Genomic DNA, 18,893 nt, shown 5'->3' on the forward strand with positions numbered 1-18,893 from the left:
ATTTGGTAAATTTACATGGAAGACCTAAATTCTAATTATTCACTTGGCAAATTATTTATGTAACAAATTGTAGTAAAGGAACTATTGATATTGCTTGTCCGCCTTTTGGCTAAGATCAAGCGTAGGAGCTATTGATATACATTTATTTGTATGAATTTAGGCAGACACACGTGTACAAACATAAAAATAGGTTTCTGACTATTGAAAATACATTTATCCTCTGCATAGACTTTTATCTCTGCAATCTTTATACTCAGTTTAATCAATATCTACATTAATTACTATCTTTAAGTAAGTAATCAGTCTGTTTTTTTTCTCTAGACATAAGGAAAACCCAGGGGACAGAAAGTTTAAAACCATCCAACTTATTTGTTCATAAGAATTTATCTTCCAGTATTTTAAAATTTTGAAAAGGCAAAAACAAGGGATCCAGCCCTGGTCATGCTGACTTCGCAGCTTCTGTGCGTATCTATGCACTCAACTTGTCAGTGTCCTTGTGTCAAAGACCCCCTAGGCACATACCTGAGATGAATAAATTGGGCTTATTATGGCTTGCATTGGGGGAGAATGCACACCACTGGGAACTACAGGGTGTCTCAGTAAAAAGGCGTCAGAAAGTACCTGTTATAGAATGTAATCTTTTGTTGGGTGACTTGGGGAAGGGTCTAAGGAAGTGAGGGTTTTGCTCTAGATTTGGTATTGTTAGAAAGTGGAGCTAATTCTAGATTAGCTATTTTGTGGATATACAACACATTATTAAATAATAAAGTGTTTAACTATAGCCTTAAAATAGAATTTATCAGTATATTAAATAAAACAATCTATATCAAATTAAATTATTATGTGAATTAACTGCAATAACTTTAAAAAAACTAATAAGAAATCAATTAGAAACTCTTTCTGTAATTCTTATACCCTATATAATCAACCATCTACATTAATTATTATCTTGAATTAATCAGCCTTTTCTTTCTTTTTCTGTAGACATAAGAGACACCTAGAGGACAGAAAGTTAAAAACCATCTGGGTCATTTTTTAATAAGCATTATCTTATATTAATTAAAAGTTTTGAGAAGGCAAATACAAGCATATATGTATTATCATCCAAGGCATATTTTGTTAATTCACTGATAATTTAATAAATAAGGGTCAGTTAAAATATGGCTTATATGTGGTCTTTTGTATATTTTTTTATTTTAGTAAGAATGCGCCTTTGAAAGTAGTATGTTTTGCTGTCCTTATGTTTATGTCAGTTTACTCTAAAAAGCAATAAGAAGTTTCATTTGAGAGTAATGTGTAAGAAGGCTGAGCTGGTTTGCCCCAATATGAATTTTTTTCAATATTACTTCTGTTTGCCAACCTAAACTCAGATATATATATATACATTGTGTACCTGACCTTACACAATGAGTATCGGTCAGATTCAGGGTGAAGGTCAGTGTCAGAGTCTGTATGAGGATAGGCATCAGGGACATAGTGACGGATAAGTTCAGGGTAAGGGTGAGTGTCAAGGTTGGGTCATGGTGAAATTCAGAGTAAGTTTCAATATAAGGATCAGCATCAAGTGGAGTGTTACAATGAAAGGATCAGGATAAGTCTCAGGCTCAGCTTCAAGGTCAGATCAACATCAGGTGAGGGTCAGTATCAACATTAGAAAAGATCAGGGATGGGGTCAGGGTCAGGGTTAGGTTAAGGATAAGGATGAGGATTGAAATAATTGTCAGGCTAAGTAAGCAAGGGTCAAGGTCAATGTGAGAATAGGATGAGTGGTAATGTCAAATGCAGGGTGAACTTGAGTGTCTGGTTTAGAGAAAGAGTAGGAATTAGGGGTCAGAGGTGGGTGAGTTTGCGTGTCAGGTTCATGGTCAGAAGTAAAGTCAGTGTGAGGCTGAAGGTCAAGGTCAGAGTCAGGTGCAAGACAGGGTTATTGTGAGATGAGAGGGAGATTCTGAGTCAGTATATGTGTAAGGGTAAGGCTCACAGTTATAAAAATGGTGAATCTGACAATAAAATTCAGGGAGAAAATCAGGGTTAGATTCAGGGTAAAGTCAGCTCAGAGTCAGCATGAGGATCAGAGGAAGGGCCAAGGACAAGTGATGGTCATAGACAGGATCAGGGTCAGAGAGCATCAGGATAAGCATAAGGATAAGGTTAAGGGTGAGTGTATATGTCAGAGAAAGTGTCAGCTTGATAGTCAGGGTCAGCGTCAGGCTGACGGTCAAGGTCAGCCAGCATCATGGTGAAGGTCAGAGTGAAGGTTAGGGTCAGGAAAAGTCCAGAGTCAAGTGCAGGATTAGGGTCAGTGTAAGAGTATTATCTGGGTCAGAGTCAGCTTCAGGATCACTGTCTAGGTCAGGGTGTTTTCAGAACAGGATGATAATTGAGGTTCTGGGCACAGTCAGGGTCAAGTTGACCCCTCAAACTTAACCTGACACTCAGCCTGACACTGAGCCTGAAACTCATGTCTGTTAACATGACTCTTGCCCTAATGGTAGCTCTCATCCTCACCAAGACACTGCAGTTCATGAACGGAGTGAATGTCAGGGACATAGTGGTCATATGTCCATTTACTCTTGACCCTCATGTGCGTCTGACCTTCATAGTGACCCTCACTAGGACCTTGCCTTGACCTAGAATTTTGCCCTCATGCTGTCCATCCTGACCCTGCACCTGACCCTGATGCTCACCCACACCAAGACTCTATTCCCCACCATGACCCTGAGGCTGATCCCACCCACACCCTCTACATTACTCTCACCCAGACACTCACCCTCACCATGTCCCTGACACCTCACTTGACCTCAACCCACATCCTAACTCCGGCACTCACTGTGACACTCACCCTGACACTGAATCCGACCCGCATCTTCACCTTAACCTTAACCTGTCCTTTACCCTCATCTTTACCATCAGCCTAACCCTGATCCTCATCCTCACACTAACTCTTACCCTCACGTTCCCAGTGGCACACTTTGACCCTGACCCTTACCTTGACTCTCTTCTCACTCTGACCTTCACACGCGTTTTGACCCTGACCCATTCCCTGACTGATCTTGACCTTGATCTGTATCTTGACCCTCACCCTGACCCTGATCTTGACCTTGACCTGACTTGGCACTGACCCTCCATGTGACCCCAACCCTAACCATGGCCGTGACTCTGACCTTTGTTCTGAGATCTTGAGCCTGACCCTTACTCTGATCTTGATACTCATCCTCCCCCTTCTCATGATCCTTACCCTCAAATCTGACTCAAACCTGATGTCACCCTGACACTGTCTCTCATCCCCCAACCCTTGTACCTTACTTGACCCTGCCCTACCTCTGACCATCACCCTGACTTTGATCCTGATGCTGACTCTGACCCTGACACTACCCCTACCCTGAACCTGACTCTCACCCTACCTTTACCCTGACCATGACCTTGACTGTGATCTAAATCACACATGGACTCTTACCTCATGTTGACACTGAAACTGACTCTGACCCTCATCCTGACTTGGACTCTCACCCCTACCCTTCCCTGAACAATGACTCTTATCCTAAACCTCACTGTCACTCTCATGTTGACTATGATCCTAACCCTTATCCTGGCCCTGACACTGACTTTCAGCCTCCTTTGAACGTTGACTCTTACTTGTCCCCATTGACCATGACCCTGACAGTGACCTCAATCCTCAACCTGACCCTGTCCCTGGCACTGACAACTATACTAAAACTGACCCTGAAATGTACACTGGCCTTCATCTTGACTCTGACCTTAACCCTCTGATACTGATCCTGAATCTGTACCTGACCCTTCTTTACCTTCATTGTGACACTAAACCCTTCACTGGCCTCAACTTCATCCTGACCCTCATCATGAAATTGAAGCTTACTCTCACCATGATATTGATCCTGACCCCCAGCTGCACCCTGTCATGACCCTTTCCCTGACCCTCATCATGACCCTGAGTTGAATCTTACTTTTACCCTACACCTGACACCTGATCCTTATGCAGAGTTGATCCTAACCCTGACCAGAGCTGCATTGACTCTGATTGTGACCTTCAACTACACCCTAACCATGACATGCACCCTCATCACTAAGCTGAGTATGACCATGATCTATGCACACACATTCTAGTTTCATCTAGATCTTTTGTAACTTGCAATATGAAAATAATTTTCAGAATTATGGACATTTACCAACTTGCCTAAACTTTTGCTGCTTATTTTCAAATATACTGCTTTGATTCATGTTAATATGATCTATTACAATGAGGTAAAAAATATAAACAAATATATAGTGGCTATTACTACTCTTTTTTGTTACTTTGGCAAATTATCCCTATGGCAGTCGATGAATTAGAGGGCTAAAAATGTAAACTTTCCCAGGATTCCAAACTGATTCTAGCACCCTAAAAGGGCCTCCTGGCTGGCCAAGGAGACTGCTGTTGTGCTTGGCTGCACCTACTGCCTCTCGTCTTTACTACCTTTTCCCTGGCAGGTGCCGGGTGGGGTAAGCCAGCTGGCTGCACAATCCAGGCAGTGAAGAATGGTGGGTGGCACAGCATACAGACCACAAGGATGTGGTCACAGTTCTTGGCTCATGGCTCACAGCTATGGATCCAAGTGTCATGGCCATCACAATGGATCCTTTTAGCATCATTTTCTTAAATAAAAGGTATTACAAAGACTATACACTGGTTACTGCTTATTGTGGTTGCTCTGCCAATGGATCTCCATAGAGAATGACCATACACATATTAGCCATACCTTATAAGAGCAAAAGAGATAAATGATCAGGGTACTTTCATGGTCTCCCACAGAAGAAAGCTAGCAAGCAAACCTGTACTTATGTTTTCAGTAGCTATTTTCATAAAAGCTATTTTTAGCAATTGGAAAATTGGTTTTATAGGCCACAGAGTTATGTATCTTATAAAATAGAAATCAAAATCAGAAATTACTTACAGAGGTGGTATAAACCTTTGAGAGTTCATGTTGGATAAGGTTTTCATTGGTAACTGCTTCCCGAGAAAATGCCACTGAACTAAACAAGCAACTGACTAAGTGGGGGAAATATCCCTAAGATTACAGAGTACTCCCTATGTGCCAGACACAGCCCCAGGGTGCTGTGGCACAAAGGAGTTAGTCTAGTACCGTATAATCACTATGAGAAAAAGACTGATATTTCTGCATGCAGCAATTCACAAGAAGAGGCAATGGTAAGGGTGGAAGAAAGACAATGGACTGACTGTTCTTTGTCATAATCATTGTTTCTTGACTGCACTCCTTTTTCCTCCTTACCAGGGGAAATGAGACCAGTAAGAAATGAGGCAAATAAGTTAAGAAATTAGGACAAAGGAAAAGAAATGGTAATGATTGTTTATATATATATTTTATATATACACTTCATATATAATATGTAGTTACATATAGTTATATATTATATTGTTATACATACCTTAACAAAATATATGTTGATATATATAAAGATTGTTTATATACATATGTGTGTATATATAATTTTTTTTAAAGACAGGGTCTGTCACCCAGGCTGGAGTGCAGTGGTGCAATAACATCTCACTACAGCCTCAGTCTCCCCAGGCTCAGGTGATCCTACCACCTCAGCCTCCCAAGTAGCTGTGACTATGGGCACGTGCCACTATACCTGGCTAATTTTTTATTTTTTTAAATAGAGATGGGGTTTCACCACGTTGTTCAGGCTGGTCTAAAACTCCTGGGCCCAATCGAGCTGTCCACTTCACCCTCCCAAAATCCTAAGGTTATAGGTGTAATGATTTGTTTTTAAAAGGAACCTTTTCTAGATAGATAGACTCTGTTTTAAACTTGTCAAGTGAGTTAACAATTTTTAATCCTTCACTACAAATACTGTGCCTGCATGTTGCATATAAGGAATTGATGTTGCTGAGACATTTCTGAGTTGGTTTTAAGCTCTATCATCAACAAAATAAATGACTATTTCTTTTGCAACCATAAGCACCATAGCTCTGAATGGGCAAGACAGAGAGTTTCACGATTAAACTACCAAAACCTAAGAAAGACAGATGCAATATAGAGTACTTTACGCTACATAGGACAAAAGAGTGAAAGCAGAAGTAAATGAAAACTGCTACAAAGCCATGAAATCAAGGAAGCTGCCAACAAAAGATCATTTAAGAAAGAAAAAAATGATATACCCAAAGGATTATAAATCATTCTACTATAAAGACACACACATGTATGTTTATTGCAGCACTATTTACAATAGCAAAGACTTGGAACCAACCCAAATGCCCCTCAGTGATAGACTGGATAAAGAAAATGTGGCATATATATACCTTGGAAACTGTGCAGCTATAAAAAAGAATGAATTCATGTCCTTTGCAGGGACATGGATAAAGCTGGAAGCCATCATTCTCAGTAAACTAACACAGGAACAGAAAACCAAACACCACATGTTCTCACTCATAAGTGGGAGTTGAACAATGAGAAGACATGCATATAGGGAGGGGTACATCACACACTGGGGCCTGTCATGGGGGTGCGGGTGCAAGGGGACGGATAGCATTAGAAGAAATACCAAATGCATGTGGGGCTTAAAACCTAGATGATGGCTTCATGGGTGCAGCAAATGACCACAGCATGTGTATACCTATGTAACAAACCTGCATATTCTACACATGTATCCGAGAACTTAAAGTAAAATGAAAAAAAAAAAAAAAAAGGAAAGAAAAAAATCTATTGGCAAAGTTGACCTTAACAAGGGTAGATGTCCCAAGCTTGCTTCGTTGTAAGAATTACTGGAGACACTTGTTCAACAGCGAGAACTCCCACACATCTTGGAATAATTCTAATTTCACTCCATATGTGATCTACACACATCAGCAGCTCTAAGAACTCCCATTTTAAAAAAAACATTTTAAAATGAAAAAAGAGACAAAAGAAGGAATTCTGCTAAGTTACACTGGGTTCACCACTTAAATAACTGGTGGCAAGTGTCTGAGTGTGAATCCTGAAGTTTGACATCACTCAGTCTTGAAAAATTAGTTTACCATAACAAAAGCTTGACACATTATTTTGCTTTGTTCAAGACCAAATTTAAAACGTAAAATTATACATGTATTACGTTGTTTTTAACTAAATGACATAGCAGTGGTTGTCTTCTTAAATGGTTAAGTTTTATAATATTTTATATTAATATAATTCGTAAAGATTTAATATATTAACTTAATTGTAATTTCTAGATTCGTAACTAACTTTTGAAACTTAGTTCTGGCTGGGTGCAGTGGCTAACACCTGTAATCCCAACACTTTGGGAGGCCGAGGCGGGAGGATCTCTTGAGCCCAGGAGTTTGAGACCAGTCTCAGCAACATGGCAAAACCTTGTTTCTATAAATAATTAAAAAATTAGCCAGGCATGGTGCCATGTGTCTGTAGTTCCAGCTACTTGGGAGGCTGAGGTGGGAGGATCACCTGAGCCCAGGAATTTGTGGCTGCAGTGAGTGGTGATCGTGCCACTGCACTCCAGCCTGGGTGATGAGAGTGAGACCCTGTCTCAAAAAAAGGAAAAAAAAAAACTTAAGCCCAATTCAATTAATAAATTACCCTTAAATGCTTGTAATTTCTAAAAGAAAAAATACAAAAACTGCTGACTAAATATAATTTTAACTTACCCTTATTAAAACATCAGTAGACTAATAAAATATAAAAATACCTTTGGGTGCTAATACATAGATGTTTGATTTTGCGTTTTTAAATTTTTAAAATAATGGGAGATAAATGCTCATTAAAAATTAGAGCATGGTTTTTAACTGTTTCCCCTTTGGGTGTCCCTTATGTCTAGAGAAAAAAAGAAAAGACTGCTTACTTTAAAGATGCTAATTATTTTGGTATAGTTCATAAAAGTAATCCATTACATCCAGAATATTTACTGCAACAATTCTACAATGAATTGATTACATTCTAGGGTCTGCTTGTTGAGCTGACACAGTGAGTTCAGGTCCTAGTACTCTATAGGATTACTTTGAGTTCATCTGCTTATGTTTCTACCTCCCTCATTACACTATGAGCCTCACAATGGCAGAGAATGAAATTATCTTTGTATTCCCTATTCCAAATTTAGCCCCGATACACAGTAGGCACTCAGTATTGTATAATGGAAAGAGGCAAAGAGAAGAATGGAATATTCTATGCAGTTTATTTACCTTCTTCCCCTAGGCATGAAGTTTTATTAATAATGAGATAATTGACCTAATGATGCAATGCTAGAATTGCTGGACTTACTTATAGGAGGAAACTTGCATGAAAATCACGAGAATGGGCCGGGCGCGGTGGCTCACGCCTGTAATCCCAGCACTTTGGGAGGCCGAGATGGGCGGATCACGAGGTCAGGAGATCGAGACCATCCTGGCTAACACGGTGAAACCCCGTCTCTGCTTAAAATACAAAAAAATTAGCCGGGCGTAGTGGCGGTCGCCTGTAGTCCCAGCTACTCGGGAGGCTGAGGCAGGAGAATGGAGTGAACCCGGGAGGCGGAGCTTGCAGTGAGCCGAGATCGCGCCACTGCACTCCAGCCTGGGCGACTGAGTGATACTCCGTCTCAAAAAAAAAAAAAAGAAAAAAAGAAAAAAGAAAGAAAAAGAAAAAAGAAAATAATGAGAATGGCTATTTGATAGAAGTATGAAATCTAAAATGCCAATATCATCAACTCCTGGAGGTTTATCCTTTCGGATTTTCAGTTTTCTGTTTTAAAAGCATTAATTAGAATGCTAGCACCCCAGAAAAAGCAAGAACATTGTCTATCTTGTTCATCTATATTCCTAGAGTCAGAACATTGACAGGAACATGTATAAGTTCGGCAAAGATTAGTTGAGAAATGACTTTGTTGCACCAATTCTGATTGCCGATGGAGGCTGGCAGCACTTTACCGAGTACAATATCATTTCAGTGATAGATTATCAATGTCTGCCGTGTGTACAGTAGGCAAAGTTAGGGTGCCTGTAACATGTTTGCCATGAATGTTAAACCACTCTTCTTGCCTTAGCTATCAGTCAACATTTTAAACAGCTGACTGCAAAGAAGACTATGGAACTAGCAGGTAGGGAAGGGTATTGACTGGGAGGGCTAATGGGGCTCTGAGATGGAAACGTGAATCTCGGAAAACAGATTCTGCTGATTCCATGTTTGGCTAAGAACATTGACTTTCTTATTTGTTAGTTATTTGTTTTATTTGGGTTTTCCTGATACTGAAAGATTAAGTTGTGCAACACAGCAGTGTTTTAACATTTCACTAATTGAATGAAGCCTGCAATGTGCAACAAAAAGATTTTTGTGTTTATTTATTGAGATTGTGCATGTACTATATTAATTTCACACTCCTTGAACATGCATTCTTCTTCCAATTAGAAAGAAAAAAGCGTGGTGGAGGCTCAGAGTTTATTCCTTTATGGAATGATTTTAAATAACAAATAAATGAATTAAAAATTTCCTGTCCCCAGAGTCTTACATCTTTCTCTGGTTAGGAAGCAGATGCACTCATAGGTGTAGCTATTGTTCCAAAGCTAGATTATCTTAAGTTTTTGAGTCTAGGATTGGAATGGGGGTGCTTGCAGGTAATTGACTAAAATAATGAAGATAATTTGAGATATGGAGGGAGATATTTTGCAGCATAAACGCAAGGGTCTTGTGTCTACCCGCACTCAGAATTGCAATATCAACTATGCCAGTGCTATATAAAATAGGATTCATTCATATTTGGACTGATGCATACTTTATTGCATAGCTGGGAGGCAGTTCAATTTTCTATCACTTTGTCACACATGCAGTTTGAAGTATGAGAACTCACAACTTAGCTCTTTTTGCCTCTCCTCTTCCTGATAAGTGGAGGCAGCCCCTTGACCCTGTGGAAGAATTATTTGTTTATTCAGTTAACAAATATCTAGCCATGGGCCAACATTCAAGCTTACATCCAACTAAGGCCATTTGTTCATAGGGCATCTGTCTTAATTTGGATCTCCTCTACCATGGACCCTGAGAGAAGGACTTGGGTGCAGGTAGCTTCTGCAGGGAGAAAATCCCTGGAAGCACAAATAAGAAAGTTAAAAAAGTGAGGCAGAAAAAGGGAAAAAATTGATAAAGTATGCGTAATAGAGCAGGTTAGTGCTGTAAGCAACTATGTCTCAATCTTCCTGGGAACCTCTGAGAAACTACTGGAAACATATACAAAATATCCCCATCAGAGGGAAGGCTGGGATATTTATGAGTATACACCCACATAGCTCAGTTGTGCCTGCAAACTTCCCATGGTGCAAGAGAGAGGGCTCAGGTAGAGAAAACAAGAGACACTAATTCCTATGTTGGGATGTTTTCAGTGTGCCAGGGACTGTCCGCCATAACTGTACGTCAATGCAGGCGAGCCAAGCAGATACGGGGCAGTGTATCTGCAACATCTACTAAAAAATCCTACTTTCTCTACCTCGAGGCAGGGTCCATTTTGGAACCAACAAACTTCATACTGAGGTAGATCCAGGGCTGCCACATATGGCTATTTAGGATTAGCCAGTTGTGCACCATTTAAGCCCAAAGACTGCCAAGTACATAGACTGTATTGTAATTATTACTGCCTGGAGCTGGGCAATGAAAAATCTGTAGCACATTCACAGGGATGTCTGTATAATTGGCATCCCTTGGAGCCATGTAATGCACAATCTGCAAGGCTGTACATACTGTTTCTTTTATAAGAAAATCCTCTTTTGAAGGGTAGGTATTATTTTTTGGGAGAGTAAGTAAATTATTATAAAGCATTAGACAGAGGACATTTCAGAATAAAGAAGATTTCAGTTAACATATTTGCATCGCTCAGCAAGCAGTACTTACAGGTTCTTTTTTTTTTTTTTTTAGACAGAGTCTTGCTGTATTGCATAGGCTGGGGTGTAGTGGCATGCACTCCAGTAGTCATTGTAACCTCCACCTCTTGGCCTCAAGCAATCCTCCCATCCTTCCACTTCAGCCTCTCAAGTAGCTGGGACTGCAGGCATGCACTACCACCCCTGGCTAATTTTTCTTTCTTTCTTTTTTTTTTTTTTTTTTTTTAACACGGAGTTTTGCCATGTTGCCTGGCGGGGGAGGTGCTGGTCTTGAACTCCTGGGCTCAAGTCATCTGTCTGCCTTGGCCTCCCACAGTGCTGGCATTACAGGTGTGAGTCACCTCACCTGGCCTAGTTACAGGTTCTATGTGGCGATCAGACTCAAAAGACTCGGTAGGCTTTAAAACCTAATACGATATTTTCTTAGCTTTTTAGATGGATACAGGACCACATGTATGGTATCTGTGCCTTGTTAGGAGACCCAAATGCTACCCAAGTACCCGCCTCACCTACGTAAGTCATGTCTAGCTGCCTCAAACAAGGTATGGTGTGTCACTTTAACACAGAGAAGCTACAGCCTCAGTTATCCCCCCCATCCTTTAGACCATACTAGTCCAGTTCATGGGTCTTCCACTCTTGGTGCAGTTCCAACAATTAGGGGTTTCACGGCAAACAAGCCAGGTATAACCATCCACATATATCTTAATCTCCATTTGATCATTGTATTATATATTAAGATAATCTTAATTTCCAATGAGACAGTATTATGGGAAGACAGACTCCAAACTTGTTTTAAAGGCAAGTCTTTGTTCAGCCCAGGCCTGATTGATTTTACTCACAACATTGTATATAAATTTGGATGAAAAAGAATACAATGCTTATGAAACAATGGACCTCATCTCTAAATTCCTGCCCAAAGTAACTGACAAATGCTATAAATTTTAATGTAAACAAATGCATAGTTAAAACTAAATTATTTTCTCATTACAAAGTAGTCTTAATTGTAGAATACTTGAGAGACAAGATAGGCACACAGTATATATTTTAGAAATGTATTTCTCAACTTTAAATCTTTCTTGTAACGCTTGTGCCAATTTTCTTGCCCATCTAATCTTTCTTTTACAGGAAATTGCAGAAATTAAGAAATAGAAGTGGAAAAGAAAGGTGGTATAATAGACAATGTACTATTGCTATTACCCAATTGTTGAGACAGTTTATCAGCAAGATAGAGGTAGCATTCTTGTGGGTTAAATATCCATTATACACTAGAACAAAGTAAACTGTGAGCACTTATGCAAGCACAGTGTTCTCTAAATACTAACTGATGGCAACTTATATATTGCATGGAAAAAGACTTTATATAGTTAAATTGCTACAGAAAAATGACTCCATTTCCAAGCGATTAGTCAATGGTATTCTCACGTTTTGGAAACTTTTATTTTTAATCATTCTCTCTTAAGCTTTACTAAAATAAAAATCTAGATTTTTTTTAAATCTTCCTATTTTACTTCTGCAAGCACCATAGAGTTTCATTGTTCATCATAATGACTTTTAAAAAGAGAGATGATTTTCTGCTCTTGTGAAATGGCCAATTTATTGCCAACTGGATCACAACAGAACTGATTTATCATTGCTCTAGTTGGAATCAGTTATGTCTCTGAGAGAACCTTTTTTTTTAAAGGAAATCATGGCAGGCCAATGTCAGTGAACTCGGGAAAAGGCCCTGATCAGGGAAATTAGGAAAGAGATTGCCACATGGATTTCACATGCCCTCTTGCCAGAAAAACATTCAAGTTGACATTCTTTGTGTTTTGTCTGTCAAAAATATAGGAGCAGGACAACCCACTTTTCCGGGACCCTCCCTGTAGCAGAGAGCTATTCTGCTTCTTTCGCCTATTTAATTTCTGCTCTAAACCTCAAAAAAAGTATATAGATATATATATAATATATATACACACACACCTTTATATGGGTATATATATATATATACACATTTATATGGGTATATATATATACACATTTATATGGGTATATATATATACACATTTATATGGGTGTATATATATATTTATATGGGTGTATATATATATATGGGTATATATATACACACCTTTACATGGGTATATATATATACCTTTATATGGGTGTACATATATATATATACCTTTATATGGGTGTGTGTATATATATATATATACACCTTTATATGGGTATATATATATAAATGTGTATATATACATACACATATATATACATTTATATATATATACCCATATAAAGGTGTGTATATATATATATATTTATGTACCCATATAAAGGTATATATATATATACACACCCATATAAAGGTGTATATATATATATATATATATATATACACACACACACCCATATAAAGATGTATATATATATATATATATATATACACAAAAAGATATATATACCTTTTATATATATATATACCTATACTTTTATAGGTATATAAAGATATATATATATATAACTTCTATATTTTGACAGACAAAACACAAAGAATATATAACGATATACCCATATAAAGGTGTATATATATGTGTGTATATATGTATGTATATATAATATATAGCTATATGTATGTATATATACATATATATCTATATGTATGTATATATACATATGTATATATATCTGTATGTATATATATACATATGTACATGTATCTATATGTATGTATATGTGTATATGTATATATATCTATATATAGTCACATAAAGATATATATATAAAGGTGTATATATATATAAAGGTGTATACATATACTTTTATATGGGTATATAGTTATATATTCTTTGTGTTTTGTCTATCAAAATATAGAAGGTATATATATATACCTTTTATATACGTATAAAAGTATAGGCATATATATATAAAAGGTATATATATACACACCTATATATCTATTTTATATATATATACCTTTTATAGATATATATAAATATATATATTTTATAGGTATATATAGGTATATATAAATATATAGATATATATATTTTATAGGTATATATTGGTATGGATATATATATACAACTTTTATAGGTATATCTATAAAGGTATATATATATATACACACCTATATAAAGGTGTATCTATACACACACACACACCTTATATATAGAGAGAGGTGTGTATACACACACATATATATATACTCCTCTCTCTCTCTCTCTATTTATATATATATATATATATATATATATATATATATATATATATATATATGCAGTAGTTTCCTGGGGGAAAGAGTACCCTGAAGATGTCTATAGCAATACCAATCCCCTAGCATAGGCTTTTAGGAGTTTCGGATGCCTATTGGACCTTCCTGATGCACATCAGCTTTGTTATGGAGCTAAAGATGCAACTATGTATGGCCTCCTTCACTTCCTCCTTCCTCCCTCCTTCTCCCTTTTCTATTCCAGCAATTGAGCCTATATGATGTATCTGGGACTGAGTATTCGGTGGCAAACTTGATAGACATTGTCTCTGTCTTCACACATTTTTATAATCTAGTGGTGGAGACAGATATTAATAACATCAGCCCACAAATCTAGAATTATAGATTGCAATAAGTTCTGGGGAAAAAATATGATGCTATGGGACAAAAGCTGGAGTGGGGTGATGTGAAGGAAAAGACAATCTCCCTTAGGAAGCCACATTAAGTTGAACTGGAAAAGACAGTCTCCCTTAGGAAACCACATTAAGTTGAACTGTCAGTGAAGGATAATGAGAAATGTGGGAGTGGGGGTTGGCATATGCAAATGTCCTGAGGCTGAAGGTATGGACAACTGTGACTCTTTTTTTTTTCTTGAGATGGGGGTCTCACTCTGTCACTAGGCTGGAGTGCAGTGGTGTGATCTTTGCTCACTGCAGCCTTGACCTCCAGCTCAAGCAATCCTCCTACCTCTGTCTCTCGAGTAGTTGGGGCTATAGAAGCAGGCCAACATGCGAGGCTAATTTTTGTATTTATTTGTAAAGATGGGCTTTTGCCATGTTTCCCAGGCTGGTCTTGAACTCTGGGGCTCAAGCAACCCTCCCACCTCAGCCTCCCAAAATGCTGGGATTACAAGCGCAAGCTACTGCGCCCGGCCTCGACTCATCTGAGTTAGCAAAAAGCTGAGTATCGCCAAAGGTTTGTCAGCAAGGAGACGTGACTGGCGAGCTATGAAGGTGAGGCAACAGTCAGGGGCCAGATCACTCAGGCTAAAAGCAAACATATGTCTACTGAGAAATAAAACATGTGAATAGCACAGAACTAAAAATTAATAGAGGCTGTGGCACTGCACCTGCATGGCACATTACTGGACAGCTGGTAACATGACCATGTCCTCTTGTAATTATTTGGGGAATGGTGGCTATTTTGCTATATCAGCACCATTGGATCTGAGAAATGACAAAACAAATGTATTCACTCATCTTTTACAAGAGATCCTTGAACTCTAAGAGGGGATTCACCTGGGGACAGTTCAAGAATATTGATGTTCGACCTGTAGCATTAAGCGGACTGTGTTCATTTAGGACACACAATGGTAGCTCAGAAGAATAGAGGGGTTGTGCCCTTTGGAGTGGAGGCCTGCTGTTTGTTTGACAGAAGGTAATAAACAAAAAGACCACAGTGCCCTGAAGCTCTTTGGAAGGTTTGCAATGAGAAAGGTAAAAAATGGCAAACAGCCTGAAAGTGGCACGTAATCGTGAGGGAGCCGGTGAATGGAAATTCAAATCCCTATTATTCTTTTAAACTTTTCCGTACTGGGAAATTACCTGGGGTCTTGCGGCTCTTAATATAGCTTGCACTTATTGCTGCCTCCCCCGGTCTTTCCATCCAGAAACTCTTACTTAACAAAACAAAATGGCATTGAAGGGGGAGGAGAGAGCTTTGATTATTGGTTGATTAAGGAATGTTGCTGTGATGTGACCAGTTGAGAGAAAAAATTAAAAATAGAAAAAAAGTAAGAACATTGCATATGTCAGCTTTTCTGTGAGACTGAGAAATTTCACAAATGTTTCACAAGCATTTCATTTTTGAAATCAAATATTTTAAATGCATTCCATCTCTTCTGAAGAAAAAGTATGTCTTTTATTGTTGTAAAATATAACATAAAAATGACCATTTTAACCATTTTTAAGCGTACAGTTCAGTAGCATTAAGTACATTTGCTGCTCAATGTACATGAGCAACCATCACTACTATAGATCTCAAGAATTTTTTCATCTTCCCCAACTGATACTCTGTAACAATCTCCCCTTATCTGCAGTTTCACTTTCTGTGATTTCAGTTACCGAGTGAACCGAACCGCAGTCCAAAAATGTTAGGGTATTTTTAGAGAGTGAGTGAGTGAGAGACTACATTCACATAACTTTTGTTACAGTATATTGTTATGATTGTCCTACTTATTGTTATTATTTTTTGGAGACTGGGTGTCCTGTTGTCCAGGCTGGAGTGCACTGGTGCAATCATAGTTAACCGCAGCCTGAAACTCCTGGGCTCAAGTGATCCTCCCACCTCAGCCTCCTGAGGAGCTGGGACTACAGGTGCACACCACCATGCCTGGTTAATAAATTTTTTTTTTTTTCATAGAGACAAGGCCTTGCTTTATTGCCCAAGCTGGCCTCAGACTCCTGGCTTGAAGTAGTCCTCCCATCTCGGCCTCCCAAAGTGCCAGGATTACAAATGCAAGCCAATGTGCCAATTCATATTTTATTATTCATTATTGTTGTGCCTAATTTATAAATTAAGCTTCATAATCAGTATATATGTATAGGAAAAAAACCTAGTATACATAGGGTTCAGTACTTTCTGAGGTTTCAGGCATCACCCACTGGGAATCTTGAAATGTATCCCCCATGGATAAGGGGGATATACTGTATCCATTGAACAATTCAATGAACAATTCAATACTGTATCCATTGAATTCTCCATTTCCCCCTCCCCTAAGCTCCTGGCAACCACCATGCTACTTTTATCTCTATAAATTTGACTACTCTGGACATCTCACCTAAATGGAATCATATAATATTGGTCTTTTTGTGACTGGCTTATTTTGCTTAGCATAATGTCTTCAAGTTTCATCCACATTGTAGCATGTGCCAGGATCTTCTTCCTTTTTAAGGGTAAACAATACTCTACCATATGTATAAATGTACATTCCATATTTTGTGTACCCATTCATTTGCCGATTGACATTCGGTTGTAGAAAAAGTATCTGTTAAACATGGAGCAGAGGGACACAATCTTTTCCTTTTCTTAAATCATCTTACTTTTATTTTTTCCTTTTACTGTCCTTTCCTTCTTTCCTTCTATCCTTTCCTTTCCTCTATCCTCCCTGGATAAAAGGAGGATAAAACGTGACTAAGGAATGTTACCATTGGGAATTTCAAGAACTAGGCCTGGCGCAGCCCAGGCGCGGTGGCTCACGCCTGTAATCCCAGCACTTTGGGAGGCCGAGGTGGGTGGATCACCTGAGGTCAGGAGTTCAAGACCAGCTTGGCCAACGTGGTGAAACCCCATCTCTACTAAAAATACAAAAATTAGCCAGGTGTGGTAGCCCATACCTGTAATCCCAGCTACTAGGGAGGCTGAGGCAGGAGAATCACTTGCACCCAGAAGGTGGAGGTGGCAATGAGCCAAGATCATGCCACTGCACTCCACCCTGGGAAACAGAGCAAGACTCTGTCTCAAAAAAAAAAAAAAAAAAAAAAAAAAAGCCTAGTAAAATGACTTTCTTTTAAAATATATATATTTAATGTAATTTTTTTTAGAGAAATTTTATAGTCACAGCAAAATTGAGCAGAAAGTACGGAGATTTCTCATATATCCTCTGCCCCCATACATGCACAGCCTATGACATTATCAATATTCTTTACCAGAGGGGTATATTTGTTACAATCAATGGACCTGCATTGAAACATCATTACCCCAAATCCACAGTTTACATTAGGTTAATCACTCTTGGTGTAGTACTTTCTATGGATTTGGACAAACATATAATAACATGTGTCCACCCTTATAGCATCATACAAAATAGTTTAACTGCCAAAAAATTCTCTGTGCTTCACCTGTTCATTGCTCCTACCCACAATATCTGTAGTCCTAACTATTTGGGAGGCTGAGGCAGGAGAATCACTTGAACCCAGGAGGCAGAGGTTGCAGTGAGCTGAGGTCTTAACGCTGCACTCCAATCTGGGTAACAGAGTGACACTCCATCTCAAAAAAAAGGTAATTATTCATTAAAAATGATCATCTGTCTCAAAAAAAAGTAATTATTCATTAAAAATGATCAGTAATGCAAAAATCCCCAGAAATGTCAGAGTTTACGGTTTGATATGGTCTGGATGTTTGTCCCTTCCCAATCTCATGTTGAAATGTGATTCCCAGTGTTGGAGGTTGAGCCTGGTGGGAGGTGTTTGGGTCATGGGGGTGGATCCCTCTTGAATGGCTTGGCCCCATCTCCACAGTAATGAGTTCACATGAGAGCTGGTTGTTAAAAAGAGCCTGGCAGCTATCTTTCTACCTCTCTCACCATGTGACATGCCTACCCCCACCCCACCTTCTGCCATGAATAAAAGCTTCCTGAGGTCTCACTAGAAGCCAAGCAGATGCTGGTGCCATACTTGTACAGCCTGCAGAACCGTGAGCCAAATAAACCTCTTTTCTTTATATGTTACACAACCTAAAGTATTCCTTTATAACGATGCAAAACTGACTCACATTAAGATTTTATTACATATGGCCACATTGCTCACCAGAAAAGTTGCTCCAACTCTCCCTCTAGAAAAAAATCCTTGCCTATTTAAAATGTTAAAAAATATGCTTTGTTGGTGTTTTAATTTTCATTTCGATGTTACTAATGAATTGAAAAATATTTTTTAACATGTTCATTATCTATTTGTATTTCTACTTTTGTGATCTTTACTCATTTTTTTCTATTGGTATTAGTGTTTTTCTGTTGAGTTATGGGAACTATTTACACTTAAAAATTTGATGTGATTATATACATTGCACATATTTTCC

General features: G+C 38.4%; 1 protein-coding gene across 1 annotated transcript in view; it reads left to right on the top strand.

Annotated features, from left to right (window-relative positions):
* The window catches only part of SLC25A26 (solute carrier family 25 member 26), a 245,318-nt gene that overhangs the window by 62,231 nt on the left and 164,194 nt on the right, over positions 1–18,893 (top strand). The gene's annotated exons all lie outside the window — the stretch shown is intronic.

Source organism: Homo sapiens, chromosome 3 (assembly GCF_000001405.40).
Source record: "Homo sapiens chromosome 3, GRCh38.p14 Primary Assembly".
In the NCBI taxonomy this organism is placed as follows: domain Eukaryota; kingdom Metazoa; phylum Chordata; class Mammalia; order Primates; family Hominidae; genus Homo; species Homo sapiens.